The sequence below is a fragment of the Homo sapiens genome, chromosome 21, assembly GCF_000001405.40.
Source record: "Homo sapiens chromosome 21, GRCh38.p14 Primary Assembly".
Taxonomy (NCBI): domain Eukaryota; kingdom Metazoa; phylum Chordata; class Mammalia; order Primates; family Hominidae; genus Homo; species Homo sapiens.
Window position 1 is genome coordinate 46,118,395 of NC_000021.9, and position 16,687 is coordinate 46,135,081.

Genomic DNA, 16,687 nt, shown 5'->3' on the forward strand with positions numbered 1-16,687 from the left:
GAGCAGATGCACAGGCGTCCTGCCCGTGACACACACTCTGCCCTCAGCTGGCACGGAGGTTCCAGCAGCCCCCAGCCAGCATCTGGCATCCCAGGTGCCCCGTGGACATCAGGGAGGTGCAGTCCCAAGCCCGACCGTGGGTCCTGCCCCCGCAGCGGGCATCCTGCACCCCCCTTCCCCTGCCAAAAGACGTGAGGCTGATTCTGCAAACCCTTCCAGGGGGACCCTGGCCGCCCAGGACGCAGAGGGCCCCCGGGAGAAATCGGGGCCAAGGGAAGCAAGGTGAGCCCCTCTGCCTCTTCGCCTGCAGCTGAGCTGGCCACACTCACGCCCATGGCCCAGATGAACAGTCACGCTGGCCACCATCTCTGCTGTCACCATGGTGCCGCATTGGGCTCTGGGGACACGGGGAGGGACAGGAAGAACAGGCCATGTGCCCTGAGCCACCAGCCCCTCTGACCTGTGCCCTCCTCACGAGGCTGAACAAGTTCCAGGGGACCCTGCAGGGCCCCCATGTGCCTGGCAAGCAGATTCCGCTGGAAGATAATAGGGGCTCCACACCACACACCGCACAGGCGTGACCATGCCTCAGGGCCCCTGCCTCTGGGTGACTGTGCTGTCCTCTCCTTCTTCAGGGGTATCAAGGCAACAGTGGAGCCCCAGGAAGTCCTGGTGTGAAAGGAGCCAAGGGCGGGCCTGGGCCCCGCGGACCCAAAGGCGAGCCGGTGAGTCCCTCCTGCCCCTGCCTCAGGGCCCCGCTCTGGGCATCCTCCTTGCAGCTTGAGGAGGACCATGGGGGAAGGGCACCTGGGCTGTAGGCAGGATCCCCTGCTGGCAAGGCACAGCCAGGCCCCCATCCTCCCAAGAAGTGGACCCGGACCACCCCACGGGACCCCCCAGAGCTGGACTTAGAGGTAAAGCCCAGGCAGGTCCTCCATGGTGTTCCCTAAACCCAGCACCAGCTGCCCAGGGCATCCTGTGAGGGCTGAGCAGGGCCCGTCCCAGTGCTGACCACTCCAAGGGGACTCTGTCTGAGCATGGGGCCTGCCTGGGAGTGACCGCAGTGACTGGACAGCACCAGGTCCCCACCAGGCCCCAGCCCATCACCTAAAACGCCACTCACCAGACATCCAACTCCACCTGGAGCCTCCCCAGATCATTCCTAAATCCTCGGCATGGGCGGGACCGACGCAGCAGAGGGACGAGGGCTGGCAGCAGAGCCACTGGCGCAGGCTGAGGCTGTTGGGAAGGAGCCTGGGGATCGAGGTCCCAGGTCCCAAAGCCAGAGCCCTCCTGTAGAGAAGGAGCATCGGCCCCGGCACAGCCCCCACCCTCCACAGGCTCTGGGCTTGGACTCAGCCCCCTCCCTCACCCACACGCCTGTTCTCTGCAGGGGCGCAGGGGAGACCCCGGCACCAAGGGCAGCCCAGGCAGCGATGGCCCCAAGGGGGAGAAGGTGAGTCCTCGTGTGGAGGCAGCCCAGGGTCTCACTGTGGTGCCCATGGGCCCTGCTGACGAGGGCCCCAACCCCATTCCTCCCAGAGAACAACAGAACCCCAGGGCCTCACTCTCCAGAGTTCACTCTCTGCAGAGTCTGGGAATGCAGCCCTGAGATCCCCACACCCCATTCTCTGCTGAGGAAGCTCCACTACCCACCCAGGCACACCCCGCACAGCTGTGCAGGCACCATTCACCCCCGGCCCACTGAGGCACCACTCACACCCCCCGGCCCCCACTGAGGCACCTCTTACCCCCAGCCCACTGAGGCATTGCTCACCCACGTGACCTCAGGGGTGATGCTGAAGGGCTGTGTGGTAAAACCCCGGCCACCAGCTCCCCTTGACATCAGGTGAAGGGGCTTCCTCCCAGGAAGTGGACGAGGTCCTACCCACGTGTGGGTGGCCTCAGGGGGACCGAGAGACACCGTGCTCAGAGCGGCAGCTACAGGCACCGGGAAGGAGCTATGGGTGAAACAGGCGACTGTTGCAGGTCCCCCGGGACAGACGGGGTTCTTCCTCCCAGGCCCCCTTCCCCAACCCCCGGCCACACCCGCCTCTCACATGGGACCCAGGCCGGAGGCCTCAGCTGAGACCCGTGGGGCCTCCCTTCCCTTCCCACAGGGGGACCCTGGCCCTGAGGGGCCCCGCGGCCTGGCTGGAGAGGTTGGCAACAAAGGAGCCAAGGTAGGGGAGCAGGGTGGGCCGCACCCCAAGGTAGGGGATCTGAGGGGGTGCAGGGGGGCTGCACCCCAAGGTAGGGTGGCCGGGACTGCACCCCAAGGTAGGGGACCCGGGTGGGTGCTGCACCCCAAGGTAAGGGGGGCCCAGGTGAGGGCTATACCTCAAGGTAGGGGACCCAGGCGGGTGCTGCACCCCAAGGTAAGGGACCAAGGCAAGGGCTGCACCCCAAAGTAGGGGACCCAGGTGAGGGCTGCAACCCAAGATAGGGGTGCTTAGGCAGGGGCTACACCCAGAACCCAGCCTACTCCACTCAGTGTGCTCAGGGCTGAAGGTCAAGTGGAGCCACAGCCTCCGGGGAGGGTCATAGGGGCCGGGGCCAGACCCGTCTTACCCCCGAGGCCCTGCAGTGTCCACAGGATTGATACTGGGGACTCCAGGGTGCTGCTGTCAGTCAAGAGAACCCCAAATTCCTCCCCTTTCTTCCAGGGAGACCGAGGCTTGCCTGGACCCAGAGGCCCCCAGGGAGCTCTTGGGGAGCCCGGAAAGCAGGTCAGTGTCAGTGCAGGAGGCCGGTGCCCTCTGACCCCACGGGTGGGTCTCCCCTATCCATGTGGGGACAGCCTGGAGCTAGCCACTGTCCCCATAGCAAACCCAGGCAGCAGAGCCTGGCCTCAGAAGCCAGGACCTGCTCCCCTAGACCCCGAGTACCTCATACCCACCCTCAGCCCCAGCCCCCCATCCTGCCCTGAAGGACCCAGGTTGTGGAGTCAGGGGCAAGGCAGTGGGCCTGAGGTCCTGGATGGGCCACAGGGAAAGGAGGAGCTGGGACCCTCAAGACAGAGGTCCACGGCCCCCACAGGCAGCAGGAGGAGCTGCGGCCATGTGGCCTGGTGGTCAGGGCTGGACGGGGCATGTCAGGTGACCCCTGGGCATGGCCAGTCCCTGCCTGTGCTGACTTCTGAATTTCTCTCCTGCCCTCAGGGATCTCGGGGAGACCCCGGTGATGCAGGACCCCGTGGAGACTCAGGACAGCCAGGCCCCAAGGTACGTGCCCCTCCCCCAGCAGGACGTATTAGGGGTTCGGGGCAGCTGCCTGAGGAGCAGGACAGGGGGCCGGCCTGGGGGACCCTGTTGCCGGCAGACGTGCCTCAGGACGGGCCTGTGCCTCCTGTTCTCAGCTCTGGAGTGAGGGGATGCCTCCGGGGTCCAGGAAGCCCCCCTGGCTCTCCTCTTCAGCAGTGACCCTTGGGTGTGCATGGCACATCCTTCCTGAGGCAGGGCCTGAGGGCAGCTACGTGGCCTGAGTAGGGTCCTCCCCGCGTGTGGGCAGGCTTCGGGTCTCTAGGCACGTCCAGCCCCCACTGGAGGTGGACAGGGCGAGGTTGGCCCTGCCAGGCCTCTGCTCACAGCCAGAACTCGACGGCACCCCTAGCCCACTTCCACCCCAGTGTGCACCTTGCGCCCTGTTGAGCACAGCCCCCCAGCCCCACCCCGTCCTATGACCATGCTGACCGACTCAACGTCCTCCTCCAGGGAGACCCCGGCAGGCCTGGATTCAGCTACCCAGGACCCCGAGGAGCACCCGTGAGTCACAGCCTGGGATGGCAGCTCCCAGGAGTGGGTGGACATTGTCCCAAGGGCCCTGAAGATTCCTAGTAGTTCCCTCAAGGCCTCCTCTGTGCAGAAGAAAGTGTGAGGTCCCTCCTGCGGGACAGAGTGGTGAGAAGGCTTCGGGTGACTCAGTGAAGGATAGGTCCAGCCCAGCATCAGGAAAAGAGCACAGCTCAGAACGCAGCACAGTGGCCTCACCCAGAGTGTGAATGAGCGAGGGAGGGAAACGGGGCTGCAGAAAGCTGCCCAGAGGGAGGAAGGAGCACTGGGATCTGAGGCTGAGTCACCCTGGCTTCTGTTTGCTTCACAGGGAGAAAAAGGCGAGCCCGGCCCACGCGGCCCCGAGGTATGTGTGGGTCCTGGCCACCTGTGCCCACCCAGGGTGGGGGTCTGCACGCCCAATTGCTGGGAACACAATGCCCACCGTCACTGACAGGACCACCCCTGTCTTGAGATGGTCCTGGCTCCCCAAGGCCCAGCCATGTCACCTATGCTGAGCTCTGGGGGAGCTGTCAGCCACTGGCTGGTCCCTTTTCAACCAAAGTTCAGGCTTTGCAAAAAAACCACATAGATGCTCCCGTTTAAAGGACCCCAAAATGCCAGATCGATTTTTCCACATAAAAATCTCACTGGTGTCCCTGGTAGAGACAGCTCCTCTGTCCCAGGCTAACATGTGTTCCCTGTCACAGGGAGGCCGAGGCGACTTTGGCTTGAAAGGAGAACCTGGGAGGAAAGGAGAGAAAGGAGAGCCTGTGAGTGTCACCGTCCCGAAGCCCACAGCAGCTGGGCAGAGGCAGGGAGGGGCCCTGAGGCTGAGCGTGTGCATCTATGAGTACAGGAGAACGCCAGGCAGCTTGGCCCCAGCCATGAGCACCACCCCCACCTTCCTAAAGGGAACGGCTGGCTCAGGGGCCCCCTCCCTCAACCCAGCCTCCCTTCCAGCGTCCCCTCCCCAGTGACCCCCCAACATCCCCCCCACAGCATCCCCCACAAGGGTCCCCTCCCTAGTGACCCCTCCACAACATCCCCCCAGAGTCCCCTCCCAGCATCCCCACTACAGCATCCCCCACCAGGGTCCCCTCCCCAGCGACCCCAACATAGCATCCCCTCCAGAGTCCCCTCCCCCAAAAGATGCCTCCACATAGCATCCCCCTCAGAGTTCCTACACACAGCATTCCCCAAGGGTTCCCTCCCCAATGTCCTCCCCACAGTTATCCCCCAGAAGGTGCTCTGTGCCTCCAAATCCCTAGCCTGGCCAAGGGTTTAACCAGGGCTGCAGGTTGGTCTGGAACTGAGCACAAAACAAGGGATGGATAACGATGGATGGATGGGCAAGTGGATGGGGGTGGGCAAATGGATGGATGGGAGGATGGGTGATGGATGGATGAGTGAATAGAAGAGTGGGTGGATAGAAGATGGATGAATGGATGGATTGCTGGATGAGTGGGTGGGTGGATGGATAAGTGGATACATGGGTGAATGAGTAGATGTATGGGTGAGTAGGTGGGTAGGTGGGTAGATGGATGGGTGGGTGGGCGAGTGTGTGGTTAGATGATGGATGGCTGAATGGATGAGTGGGGGGATGGATGGGTGAGTGGGTGTATGTATGGATGGGTTAGTGGGTGGGTGGATGAATGGATGGGTGCATAAAGGATGGATGGATGAATGAGTTAGTGGGTTGGCAGATGGATGGATGGGTGAGTCAGTGGATAGATGGATGGGTGGGTGGATAGAGGATGGATGGTTGGGTAGGTGATGGGTGGATGAGTGGATAGATGGGTATGTGAGTGAGTGGGGGGATGGGTAGGTGGGTGGATGGATGGTTAGGTGAATGAGTGGATGGACAGACGGACAGTGGGTGGATGGATGAGTGAACGGATGGACCGATGGATGAATGGGTGGGTGGGTAGAGGATGGACGGACAGGTGAGTGGGTGGGTGGATGGATAGATGGGTAAGTGAGTGGATAGATAGATGGGTGGGTGGACAGAGGATGGGTGGATGAATGGATGGGTTAGTGGGTGGCTGGGTGGATGGATGATGGATGGGTGACTGGGTGGATGGATGGATGGGTTAGTGGGTGGCTGGGTGGATAGATGGATGGGTGATTGGGCGAATGGGCGAATGGGTGGATGGGTGGGCGTGGAGTTGGTGGGTACATGATAATGGGGTGGAATACCCATGGATTGGAATGAGCTGTTTTGGCTGCTATTTCTGGGACACCCAGCTCTGCCAGGCCCCTACCCCTCTGGTGGGCCAGGCTCTGACGGTGGCCACTCATGGCCTTTCTAGCTCTGGTGCCAGCATAGGGAAGGAGGAGGCACAGCCTTGTCTTACTCCTTGCACCTGTTAGCCCCCCCCCCCGCCAAGGGAGGACCCGTGGTTGGGGACAGCACAGGGGGCCCTGCTGTGTGCAGGGACTGTCCCTGGGGCCACTGAAGCCCACCTGTTCTTGTTCCTTCTCAGGCGGATCCTGGTCCCCCTGGTGAGCCAGGCCCTCGGGGGCCAAGAGGAGTCCCAGGACCCGAGGTAGGTTGGTGGCCAGTCCCCATGCCCTCCCCCCAACCTGCCAGGCCAACACACACCCAAGCCTCGTGGTTCTGCCCACGGTGGACCCACGTATCAGTGGGCAGTGGCCTGGGAGAGACTCAGCCACCCAGCCTTGGCCCCAGAGTCTCAGCCTCATCCTTCCTTCCCCAGGGTGAGCCCGGCCCCCCTGGAGACCCCGGTCTCACGGTAGGTGTCACATGGGGCAGAACCAGTGTCCTTCTCCTGCCAAAACTAGACACCAAGAGCAGCAGGGGTGGGGGAAGGTCAGCTGGCACGGTCAGAGAGCAAGATCAGTGGAGGAGGTCAGAGGGCAAGGTCAGAGAGCAAGCTTGGTTGGGGAAGGTCACAGGGCAAGGTTGGTGGGGGGAGGAGGGTGGCAGCGAGGTTGGTAGGGACAGGACCCGCCAGCCTCCCCGCATGGCTGCCTCCACACGTGGGCTGGAATGTCCCGGGACCCCCAGGCCAGGACCTTGCTGTGGAAACTCTTCTGGGGCCCCGGGGGGACTACCCTGCCTGCCGTGTGCATTGCAGGAGTGTGACGTCATGACCTACGTGAGGGAGACCTGCGGGTGCTGCGGTGAGGCACTGCCCACGGCAGGGTCGGGGCCCATGCACCGGGTGGAGGGCGGGAGTGCAGCAGGGCTGGGTCATCGCTGGGTCCTGCATGTGCACGTGACCCTAGGGTCTGAGGTCTCCCCGGTACCCCCCGATGACCCTGCCACCCCCCCAGACTGTGAGAAGCGCTGTGGCGCCCTGGACGTGGTCTTCGTCATCGACAGCTCCGAGAGCATTGGGTACACCAACTTCACACTGGAGAAGAACTTCGTCATCAACGTGGTCAACAGGCTGGGTGCCATCGCTAAGGACCCCAAGTCCGAGACAGGTCAGCGGGGCAGGGGCGGGTGCAGCATTGCGGGGGGCCGGGCGGGGCGTGGGAGGCGATGAGATGGGAGAAGTCCAGACGCGTCCCTCCAACGAGGGCCTCTGCATGGCTGGGGATGCCCCAGACCCCGAGGCCTCTGGCAACGACCTCACGCGTGCGGCTTGCAGGGACGCGTGTGGGCGTGGTGCAGTACAGCCACGAGGGCACCTTTGAGGCCATCCAGCTGGACGACGAACGTATCGACTCCCTGTCGAGCTTCAAGGAGGCTGTCAAGAACCTCGAGTGGATTGCGGGCGGCACCTGGACACCCTCAGCCCTCAAGTTTGCCTACGACCGCCTCATCAAGGAGAGCCGGCGCCAGAAGACACGTGTGTTTGCGGTGGTCATCACGGACGGGCGCCACGACCCTCGGGACGATGACCTCAACTTGCGGGCGCTGTGCGACCGCGACGTCACAGTGACGGCCATCGGCATCGGGGACATGTTCCACGAGAAGCACGAGAGTGAAAACCTCTACTCCATCGCCTGCGACAAGCCACAGCAGGTGCGCAACATGACGCTGTTCTCCGACCTGGTCGCTGAGAAGTTCATCGATGACATGGAGGACGTCCTCTGCCCGGGTGAGCGTGTGGGCGCGGGGCAGTCGGCCGAGGAGCAGCAGGCCCCAGCCGCTGTCTAGCGTGAGCCCCAGGGACACCCCTCACCTGAGGGATGAATGTGCAGCCCAGGATCTTGGGCTGTGGGTGGGAAGGGGTCGGGCCCTCTCGGGGCTGCAGGGCAGAGGCCAGCTGCACCCTGAGCCTGTCTAGGCAGATCAGTGAACGGCCGCTGAGGGTTCGCTAGGGACTGACCCTGGCCTGGCCCGGCCTCTCTCCTCTCTTCCAGACCCTCAGATCGTGTGCCCAGACCTTCCCTGCCAAACAGGTAATGCAGGGCACCCTGAGCCACCACCCCAGACTAGCAAAGCAGCCCTGGTGTCCTTCCTCCTCGAGGGCCGGGCTGGGGGAGGGGCCGTGCAGGGACCCGGGGGGCGGCGGAGCCACTGCGGAGGCTGCTCCTTAGGGAGATGGCCCCAGGATGGCAGCACAGGGGAGGAGGGGCTTGGGGAAGGCAGGCTCCCAGGAACGCAGGAACAGCATCACGAGGCCATGAGGTGGGTGCTGCTAGCCTGGCGCTGTGCTCGGCATGTGGCCACTGGTCTTGAAGGCCCACCATGGGCCTTGCAGTCTCCCTCAGCTGCCGCCCAGCTCCCATGGGCTGGCCGTGCATGTGCCACTCGGAGGAAGCCCTGGATTCAGTGAGTGAAACCATCCCGGGGTGGAAGCACTGACACCCCCCAGCACCAGCAGGTCTTGCTCCAACCCTGGCCTGCCTCGGAGCTGCAGCTGCGGCTCTCACATCTCTGGGAGTGGGGGAGCCCATGTCCCGGATGTGGCCCACGTGGGTGTGAAGCTGGAGCTGGGGGTGCCGTCCAGGCTCTGCTGGACGTGGTGCTGCCCCCATGGTGCACTGCTGCACCGTACCTGGGCCCACAGGAGGTCCCCGGGGGCGTTAGGAGCTGAGTCCCCCTCAGTGAGCCGTCCCCTCCAGGAGTGTGAGGGTAGGGATGCCATGGAGACAGGGTGGGAGGGTCCGACCTGGAGGACCACAGGGAGGAAACCTCAGGGTCTGCGGTACGAAGTCAGCGCTTCCTCAGCACGCGGGTCGCGGTGTGCGTTCGGGCGTTCCATGGGGAGCTCCCGGTGGGTGAGCTGGGCCACTGAGCACATTCACAGGCCCTGAGGCTGCCCCAGGGGAGGAGCCGTGGACTCAGAGCCGAGGTTCCCCATACGTGCTGCGACAGAGAACCTAGGGCTTGCACCTGGGTCTGGCTGCCCTTCAGCAGGCGGGCAGCCTCTGGCCCCACAACAGTGGGCTGTGCTTCTGCCGCCAAGGTGCAGGCGTCCTCCCCCAGGGTCCACATCAGCAGCAGGGGCACCTGGACCCTGAGGGCAGGAACCAGACCTTGGCTCCTCCACCCACCCCCTCGTTCCTGATGGGGCAGGGAAGTCTCGGGACCCCATGATGGGCGACATGGCGATGGTCACTGTGGGTGCTTTGCTATCAGGTGGGGGGCCTTCCTCTCCACTCTGGGTCCAGTGTGAGTGGCCGCTATGGCTTCCCCTCCACTCCAGGTTCTATCGTGAGTGGGTGGGTGCTGCGTCTGTGGATGTCACGTGACCTTTCCTCTTTAGCCTATCATTGTAGTTGGGAGTTAGTTAGCCCGTTGAGCGTCATTGAATTTCCAGTGTTGAGCCAGCCCTGCGTGCCCGGGATAAACCCACCTGGCCGTGGTGTGTGGCCCTGTTTATGCACGTGGGCCCTGATTCGCTGATGCCTGCCTGAGGGTTTGCGCTTATCGGCGACATCAGCCTGCACTTTTCTTTTCTCGTGATCTCTCTGGTTCTGGCCTCAGGGTGACGTGGGCCTCGTAGGGTCCTGTGGTGGCTCCTCCCCAGACGGTGACATGGAGTGAGCCCATTCTCCCTCCTGGGAGTGGGTCACTCAGGCCACCAGAGCACCACAGGGAAAGCAGCCAGGGAGGACACGGAGGCCCTTGAAGCTCTGGCCTCTTCTGAGGCCTCCAGGACCTGACAGTGAGTGGGAGCAGCCCTGGCAGAACCCCTCCCCTCCTCTCGGCCGCCCTGACACCTCATCCCCGACACTCAGAGCTCATCCTCCTTCCCAGCTGTTTCCAATTTCAAAGTGAACTCGACCTTGTGGCTCCAGGAGATGCAGCAGGGACAGTGTTAAATCGGCTTTCACCAGCCCACACGGCCAGGCATCCTCCTCGGCCCTCCTGGGCACTGGGTGGACACCACTGGCTGTGGCCTGGCCCTGGCCTTCTCCAGACAGCCCTGTCCACCCCAAAGCCCAGCCACCCTGGGCCTGCAGCAGGCCTGTGGAGTTCTCAGTTGCGTGGGGACCAGAGGGTGCTGGAGAAACAAACCAGACGCAGCTGAAGGCAGTCAGGGCAGGGCGCAATCAGCGATAAGAGCTGCATAGGGGCCACAGCGTAACCTGAGCTCCAGTCGGTGGAAAGAAAAGGCAGAGACGTTGCAGAGGCCAGGTCTGCTCAGGGGAAGACAGTTCTGGGTGTAGAGGACTCACATCCCAGAGAGGCTGAGGAAGGGTTTACCACCGCAAGCTTTCTCAGGCGGGCTCTTGAGGGGTGGCTGGGGTCTTCCTGGCGACGGGCCTGCGGCACTGGAAGCCCTACTGGAGTTTGGCCTGTCTCCGGCACAGGTTTGGACGGAGCTGTTTTGTGCTGAAAGGTTTTCTCGGGGTCCGTGGTGTCCCCCAAAGGTGCCACCGTGCGGGTCTCCTAGCTCCCTGCCAGCTTCCTGTCCCTGTGCTCACTGCCCCCACGCCTCCTGCCAAGGCCGAGCCACACACCCGCTCCACCTGCATTTCCTCTACCGACTCGCCAGCCCAAATGCCGCTCTTCACTCTGGCCTCGCTGAGCGGCTGCCCGAGGAGGAGCTCTAGGCCGACGCCCACCGCAGGCCTTACAGTCTTCTCTGGACGCTCCCTTGCAGATGCACCGTGGCCTGGCGGCGAGCCCCCGGTCACCTTCCTCCGCACGGAAGAGGGGCCGGACGCCACCTTCCCCAGGACCATTCCCCTGATCCAACAGTTGCTAAACGCCACGGAGCTCACGCAGGACCCGGCCGCCTACTCCCAGCTGGTGGCCGTGCTGGTCTACACCGCCGAGCGGGCCAAGTTCGCCACCGGGGTAGAGCGGCAGGACTGGATGGAGCTGTTCATTGACACCTTTAAGCTGGTGCACAGGGACATCGTGGGGGACCCCGAGACCGCGCTGGCCCTCTGCTAAAGCCCGGGCACCCGCCCAGCCGGGCTGGGCCCTCCCTGCCACACTAGCTTCCCAGGGCTGCCCCCGACAGGCTGGCTCTCAGTGGAGGCCAGAGATCTGGAATCGGGGTCAGCGGGGCTACAGTCCTTCCAGGGGCTCTGGGGCAGCTCCCAGCCTCTTCCCATGCTGGTGGCCACCGTGTCCCTTGCTGCGGCTGCATCTTCCAGTCTCTCCTCCGTCTTCCTGTGGCCGCTCTCTTTATAAGAACCCTGGTCATTGAATTTAAGGCCCACCCCAAGTCCAGAATGACCTCGCAAGACCCTTAACTCACTCCCGTCTGCAGAGTCCTTCTTTGCTGCATCAGGTCACCCTCACAGGCTCCAGGGTTTGGGTGTGGAAGTCTTTGGAGGCCCTTACTTAGCGGCCCAGCTGGGCTGCCGTGCGTCTGGGATGGGGCTGAGGGAGGGTGCTGCCCAGGTGCTGGAGGATGTTCCAGCACCAGGTTCCAGCGGAGCCTCGGAAACAGGCCCCAGAGGCTGGTGAGCCTCGCTGGGTGTGGGCACTAATCCCGTGCATGGTGACTCGTGGGCGCTCACGGCCCACCTGGTGGCAGGTGAAGGCTTCCGGTTGGGCAGCAGATAGTCCTGGGGGAAGCTGGCAGTCCTGGCACCATGACGTATCTGGGCTGGTGTCATGCACAGTAGGGCGAATGGCCACAGCTGCCTGCCAGCAGCCCTGATCCCGGGGTGTCTGCACCCTTCCAGCCCAACCTCTGGGTCTCCAAAAGCACAGTCGGGGGAGCATCCACCAGGCACAACCTCTGCGGTCCTCAGAGGACTGAGCAGAGAATCCCAGGGTCCACAATGTTGGGGAGCGGCAGGGATCACCATCCAAAGGGAGCGGCCCCCACGGCGAGCTGACCCCGACGTTCTGACTGCAGGAGCCCTCATCCAGGCTGGGCTCCTGCCGGGCACGGCTGTGACCATTTCTCAGGGCCAGGTTCTCGTCCCCACACCCACTGCACAGGGCAGGCCAGGCTGGTCTTCCCACTGTGGGGATGAAGGATCCTCCACAGGAGGAGGAGAGCAGAGTCCACAGACATCCCAACAGCCTCAGCCTCCCTGTGCCTGGCCGGCCCCCACAGCTTCCCCGTCTCCTCCAGGCCCCACAGACACTGATGAATGGACAGAGACCCCCAAAACCAGCTGCCCCTTGCATGTCTGTCTCCATATGTTTGGTGACAGCAGTGAAAATGTTATTAGTTTTGAGGGGGTTTGGGAAGCCCAGCGGTACCTGAGGAGTTTCTGGACATTTAAGCCGGTTCCTAGGTGTGGCCTTAACAGGGAGGCTGCCCTTCCTTTCACTGAATGAGCTGCGTCACTCATAAGCTCACTGAGGGAACCCCATCTGCCAGCTCGTGCGTGCTCAGACGGCGTCCATGTCTCAAGCGTTCTGTGAAGGCTGCGGTGCAGCGTGAGGTCACCCTGCTGTGTTCAGAGCTTTGCTCACTGCCTGCGGGGCTGGACCGTTGCACCTCCAGGGCCCCCAGAAACCGAGTTTCGGGTCAGGGTCCTCTGTGTGCATTCCTGGGGGTCCATGTACCAGCTGTGACGACGTCCAGGGGTTGGGCTGAGAAGCAGACACCCTTGGGGAAACTGGCTCTGTCCCTCCCCTCCCCCATCCCAGGAGCTGAGGTCTTGGTGAGGCCACAGGGCCAGGTCCACGCAAGGACTGTCCGTGTCCTGTCCTGTGGTCTCTGGCCCCACGTGACACCCACACGTGTGGTAGGCAGCCTGGCCTGGGTTGTGGCTATGGCCAGGCCCCCAAGCTGTCCCCGATGCCCAGGGCTGGTGACCACCCAGGCAGGTGGGGGCCCCACTTGGTAACAGAGTCATAGGGCAGAACCCACCTGGGCTGCCACAGAAGGTCTGGCTGCCCCTGTGCCCACTGCTCCCCACCATGGCCAATCAGAAGAGTCAGGGGCTCCTGGTCTTTCCGGGAGGGACGTGGCCCAGCCAGCTCTAGGTGTTCTGAGCAGCTCTGGGACCCAGCGATTGAGGGGTCAGGCTGGGGGTGTCAGAGCCAGGGTCCTCCTTAAGTACCTCCCACACTACACAGACAGTGGCCCTTTTGTGGGCAGCAAATTCTTGAGCCATGAAAGGATGCTTTGGGCCCCTTCCCTCCCAGGAGGGCAGCCTGTGCAGGGATGGTGCTCAGCAGGTGGACAGGGCCTGGGGCCTGTGTCAGGGTCTCAGGCCTGGGAGCACCAGCAGAGGAGATGGCGGCTCCCAGCAGTGCCGCCTGAAAGTGTCTTGGGCTAAGGACCCACACCCAGGGCTGCCCTGCAGAAACGCCCCCGCAGAGCCCAGTGGTCTGTGAGGTTGCAGGCAGGGTGCGAATGGAAGGGCACAGGTGCGGGGCTGGCACCTGCCCGGTCCTGCCCACCTCCCCTCCGCCCAGCCCGCACCTGCGTCTCCCCACAGAGCTGTCCGTGGCACAGTGCACGCAGCGGCCCGTGGACATCGTCTTCCTGCTGGACGGCTCCGAGCGGCTGGGTGAGCAGAACTTCCACAAGGCCCGGCGCTTCGTGGAGCAGGTGGCGCGGCGGCTGACGCTGGCCCGGAGGGACGACGACCCTCTCAACGCACGCGTGGCGCTGCTGCAGTTTGGTGGCCCCGGCGAGCAGCAGGTGGCCTTCCCGCTGAGCCACAACCTCACGGCCATCCACGAGGCGCTGGAGACCACACAATACCTGAACTCCTTCTCGCACGTGGGCGCAGGCGTGGTGCACGCCATCAATGCCATCGTGCGCAGCCCGCGTGGCGGGGCCCGGAGGCACGCAGAGCTGTCCTTCGTGTTCCTCACGGACGGCGTCACGGGCAACGACAGTCTGCACGAGTCGGCGCACTCCATGCGCAAGCAGAACGTGGTACCCACCGTGCTGGCCTTGGGCAGCGACGTGGACATGGACGTGCTCACCACGCTCAGCCTGGGTGACCGCGCCGCCGTGTTCCACGAGAAGGACTATGACAGCCTGGCGCAACCCGGCTTCTTCGACCGCTTCATCCGCTGGATCTGCTAGCGCCGCCGCCCGGGCCCCGCAGTCGAGGGTCGTGAGCCCACCCCGTCCATGGTGCTAAGCGGGCCCGGGTCCCACACGGCCAGCACCGCTGCTCACTCGGACGACGCCCTGGGCCTGCACCTCTCCAGCTCCTCCCACGGGGTCCCCGTAGCCCCGGCCCCCGCCCAGCCCCAGGTCTCCCCAGGCCCTCCGCAGGCTGCCCGGCCTCCCTCCCCCTGCAGCCATCCCAAGGCTCCTGACCTACCTGGCCCCTGAGCTCTGGAGCAAGCCCTGACCCAATAAAGGCTTTGAACCCATTGCGTGCCTGCTTGCGAGCTTCTGTGCGCAGGAGAGACCTCAAAGGTGTCTTGTGGCCAGGAGGGAAACACTGCAGCTGTCGCTCGCCCACCAGGGTCAATGGCTCCCCCGGGCCCAGCCCTGACCTCCTAGGACATCAACTGCAGGTGCTGGCTGACCCCGCCTGTGCAGACCCCACAGCCTTGATCAGCAAACTCTCCCTCCAGCCCCAGCCAGGCCCAAAGTGCTCTAAGAAGTGTCACCATGGCTGAGGGTCTTCTGTGGGTGGACGCATGATTAACACTAGACGGGGAGACAGCAGGTGCTGAGCCTGTTGTGTTCTGTGTGGAGATCTCAGTGAGTTTTTGCTGTTCAGACCCCAGGGTCCTTCAGGCTCAGCTCAGGAGCCCCACAGTGAACCAGAGGCTCCACAGGCAGGTGCTGACCTGACAGGAGTGGGCTTGGTGGCCATCACAGGGCACCACAGACACAGCTTGAACAACTACCAGTATCGGCCACAGGCCTGGAGGCATCAGCCGGGCCATGCTTCCTCTGGAGGGCTAGAGGAGGACTAGAGAAGGGCCTGCCCCGGCCTCTCCCCAGCATCCCAGGGTTCCTGATCTCCTGGATAAGGATACAAGTCACCACACTGGACTGGGGCTCAGCCTGCTCTAGAATACCTCACCTAAGTCACAGTGGACCAGGCTCAGCCTGCTCTAAGGTGAGCTTACCCGAGACACTGGACCAGAGATCAGCCTATCCTGGGATAAGCTCACCCGAGTCACACTGGACCAGGGCTCAGCCTATTCCGGGATGAGCTCACCCGAGTCACACTGGACCAGGGCTCAGCCTATTCTAGGATGAGCTCACCCGAGTCACACTGGACCAGGGCTCAGCCTATTCCGGGATGAGCTCACCCGAGTCACACTGGACCAGGGCTCAGCCTATTCCGGGATGAGCTCACCCGAGTCACACTGGACCAGGGCTCAGCCTATTCCGGGATGAGCTCACCCGAGTCACACTGGGCCAGGGCTCAGCCTATTCTAGGATGAGCTCACCCAAATCACACTGGACCAAGGCTCAGCCTGCTCTAGAATACCTCACCTAAGTCACACTGGACCAGGGCTCAGCCTGCTCTAAGGTGAGCTCACCCGAGACACTGGGCCAGAGATCAGCCTACTCTGGGATGAGCTCATCCGAGTCACACTGGGCCAGGGCTCAGCCTATTCCAGGATGAGCTCACCCGAGTCACACTGGACCAGGGCTCAGCCTATTCTAGGATGAGCTCACCAGAGTCACAGTGGACCAAGGCTCAGCCTGCTCTAGGATGACCTCACTGGAGTCACACTGGACCAGGACTCAGCCTATTCCAAGATAACCTCACCCAAGTCACACTGGACCAAGCTCACCCTGCTCCAGGATGATCTCACCTGAGCTCACTGCATCTGCAAGGACCCCATTTCCAAACAAGGTCACATCCAGAGGTCTGGGGCTTAGGGTTAGGGGTTGGGGTTGGGGTTGGGGGTCAGGGGTCAGGGGTCAGGGGTCAGGAGTCAGGGTCAGATTTAGGGTCAGGTTTAGGGTCAGGGTCAGGTTTAGGGTCAGGGTCAGGTTTAGGGTCAGGGTCAGGGTCAGGGTGAGGGTGAGGGTCAGGTTTAGGGTCAGGGTGAGGGTGAGGGTGAGGGTGAGGGTGAGGGTCAGGTTTAGGGTGAGGGTGAGGGTGAGGGTGAGGGTCAGGTTTAGGGTGAGGGTCAGGTTTAGGGTCAGGGTCAGGGTCAGGGTCAGGTTTAGGGTCAGGGTGAGGGTGAGGGTGAGGGTGAGGGTGAGGGTCAGGTTTAGGGTCAGGGTCAGGGTGAGGGTCAGGTTTAGGGTGAGGGTCAGGGTCAGGGTCAGGGTCAGGGTCAGGAGTCAACATGTGAAACTGGGGAAATGCAGTTCACTCTGGATACCCTGAAACTTTGTTGTCCTTTGAAAAGACTCACTCTTTTCTTCATACTCCACCGCTCTGTCATCTGACCACACAGCCTGCAGCTCCAGGGGAGTACGTCAGTTATTTTCTCTTCCTTTCCTCCTTTTCCCATCCCACAAAAAAACTACGCAAATGCCAGCAGGAGATGCAGAAGAGGCCCGCCTGTTTTGCTAAGCCCCTGCGCCCTGAGTGTCAGCCCTCAGATCTCTGTGCTCCAGGTGAACACCGCGGGTCCCGCAGGTGGAGGGAGGCAGAGGCCCCTGCAGGTGCACAGGCTCCACCCA

General features: G+C 63.1%; 1 protein-coding gene across 3 annotated transcripts in view, besides 1 other annotated feature; it reads left to right on the plus strand.

Annotated features, from left to right (window-relative positions):
• Window positions 1–14,454, plus strand: part of COL6A2 (collagen type VI alpha 2 chain) — a 34,737-nt gene extending 20,283 nt beyond the window's left edge. Inside the window, exons 13-28 of one of the 3 annotated variants that reach the window (NM_001849.4) lie at window positions 220–282; window positions 636–725; window positions 1,394–1,456; window positions 2,121–2,183; window positions 2,667–2,729; window positions 3,162–3,224; window positions 3,714–3,764; window positions 4,102–4,137; window positions 4,481–4,543; window positions 6,257–6,319; window positions 6,491–6,526; window positions 6,872–6,917; window positions 7,071–7,223; window positions 7,391–7,843; window positions 8,109–8,147; window positions 13,560–14,454. In NM_001849.4, the coding sequence (NP_001840.3) occupies window positions 220–282; window positions 636–725; window positions 1,394–1,456; window positions 2,121–2,183; window positions 2,667–2,729; window positions 3,162–3,224; window positions 3,714–3,764; window positions 4,102–4,137; window positions 4,481–4,543; window positions 6,257–6,319; window positions 6,491–6,526; window positions 6,872–6,917; window positions 7,071–7,223; window positions 7,391–7,843; window positions 8,109–8,147; window positions 13,560–14,158 (1,944 nt within the window). In that variant the 3' untranslated portion in view covers window positions 14,159–14,454. Of the gene's footprint in view, window positions 1–219; window positions 283–635; window positions 726–1,393; window positions 1,457–2,120; window positions 2,184–2,666; window positions 2,730–3,161; window positions 3,225–3,713; window positions 3,765–4,101; window positions 4,138–4,480; window positions 4,544–6,256; window positions 6,320–6,490; window positions 6,527–6,871; window positions 6,918–7,070; window positions 7,224–7,390; window positions 7,844–8,108; window positions 8,148–10,508; window positions 11,408–13,559 lie in introns of those variants that run through there. The other 2 variants (NM_058175.3, NM_058174.3) reach the window with 2 other exon arrangements.
• Window positions 13,663–14,167: an enhancer, noted in NCBI's record as "H3K27ac-H3K4me1 hESC enhancer chr21:47551971-47552475 (GRCh37/hg19 assembly coordinates)". NCBI's record gives its function as "activates a minimal SCP1, AML or CMV promoter by ChIP-STARR-seq in naive H9 embryonic stem cells {active_cell/tissue: H9 hESC(naive)}" and the evidence as "EXISTENCE:reporter gene assay evidence [ECO:0000049][PMID:30033119]".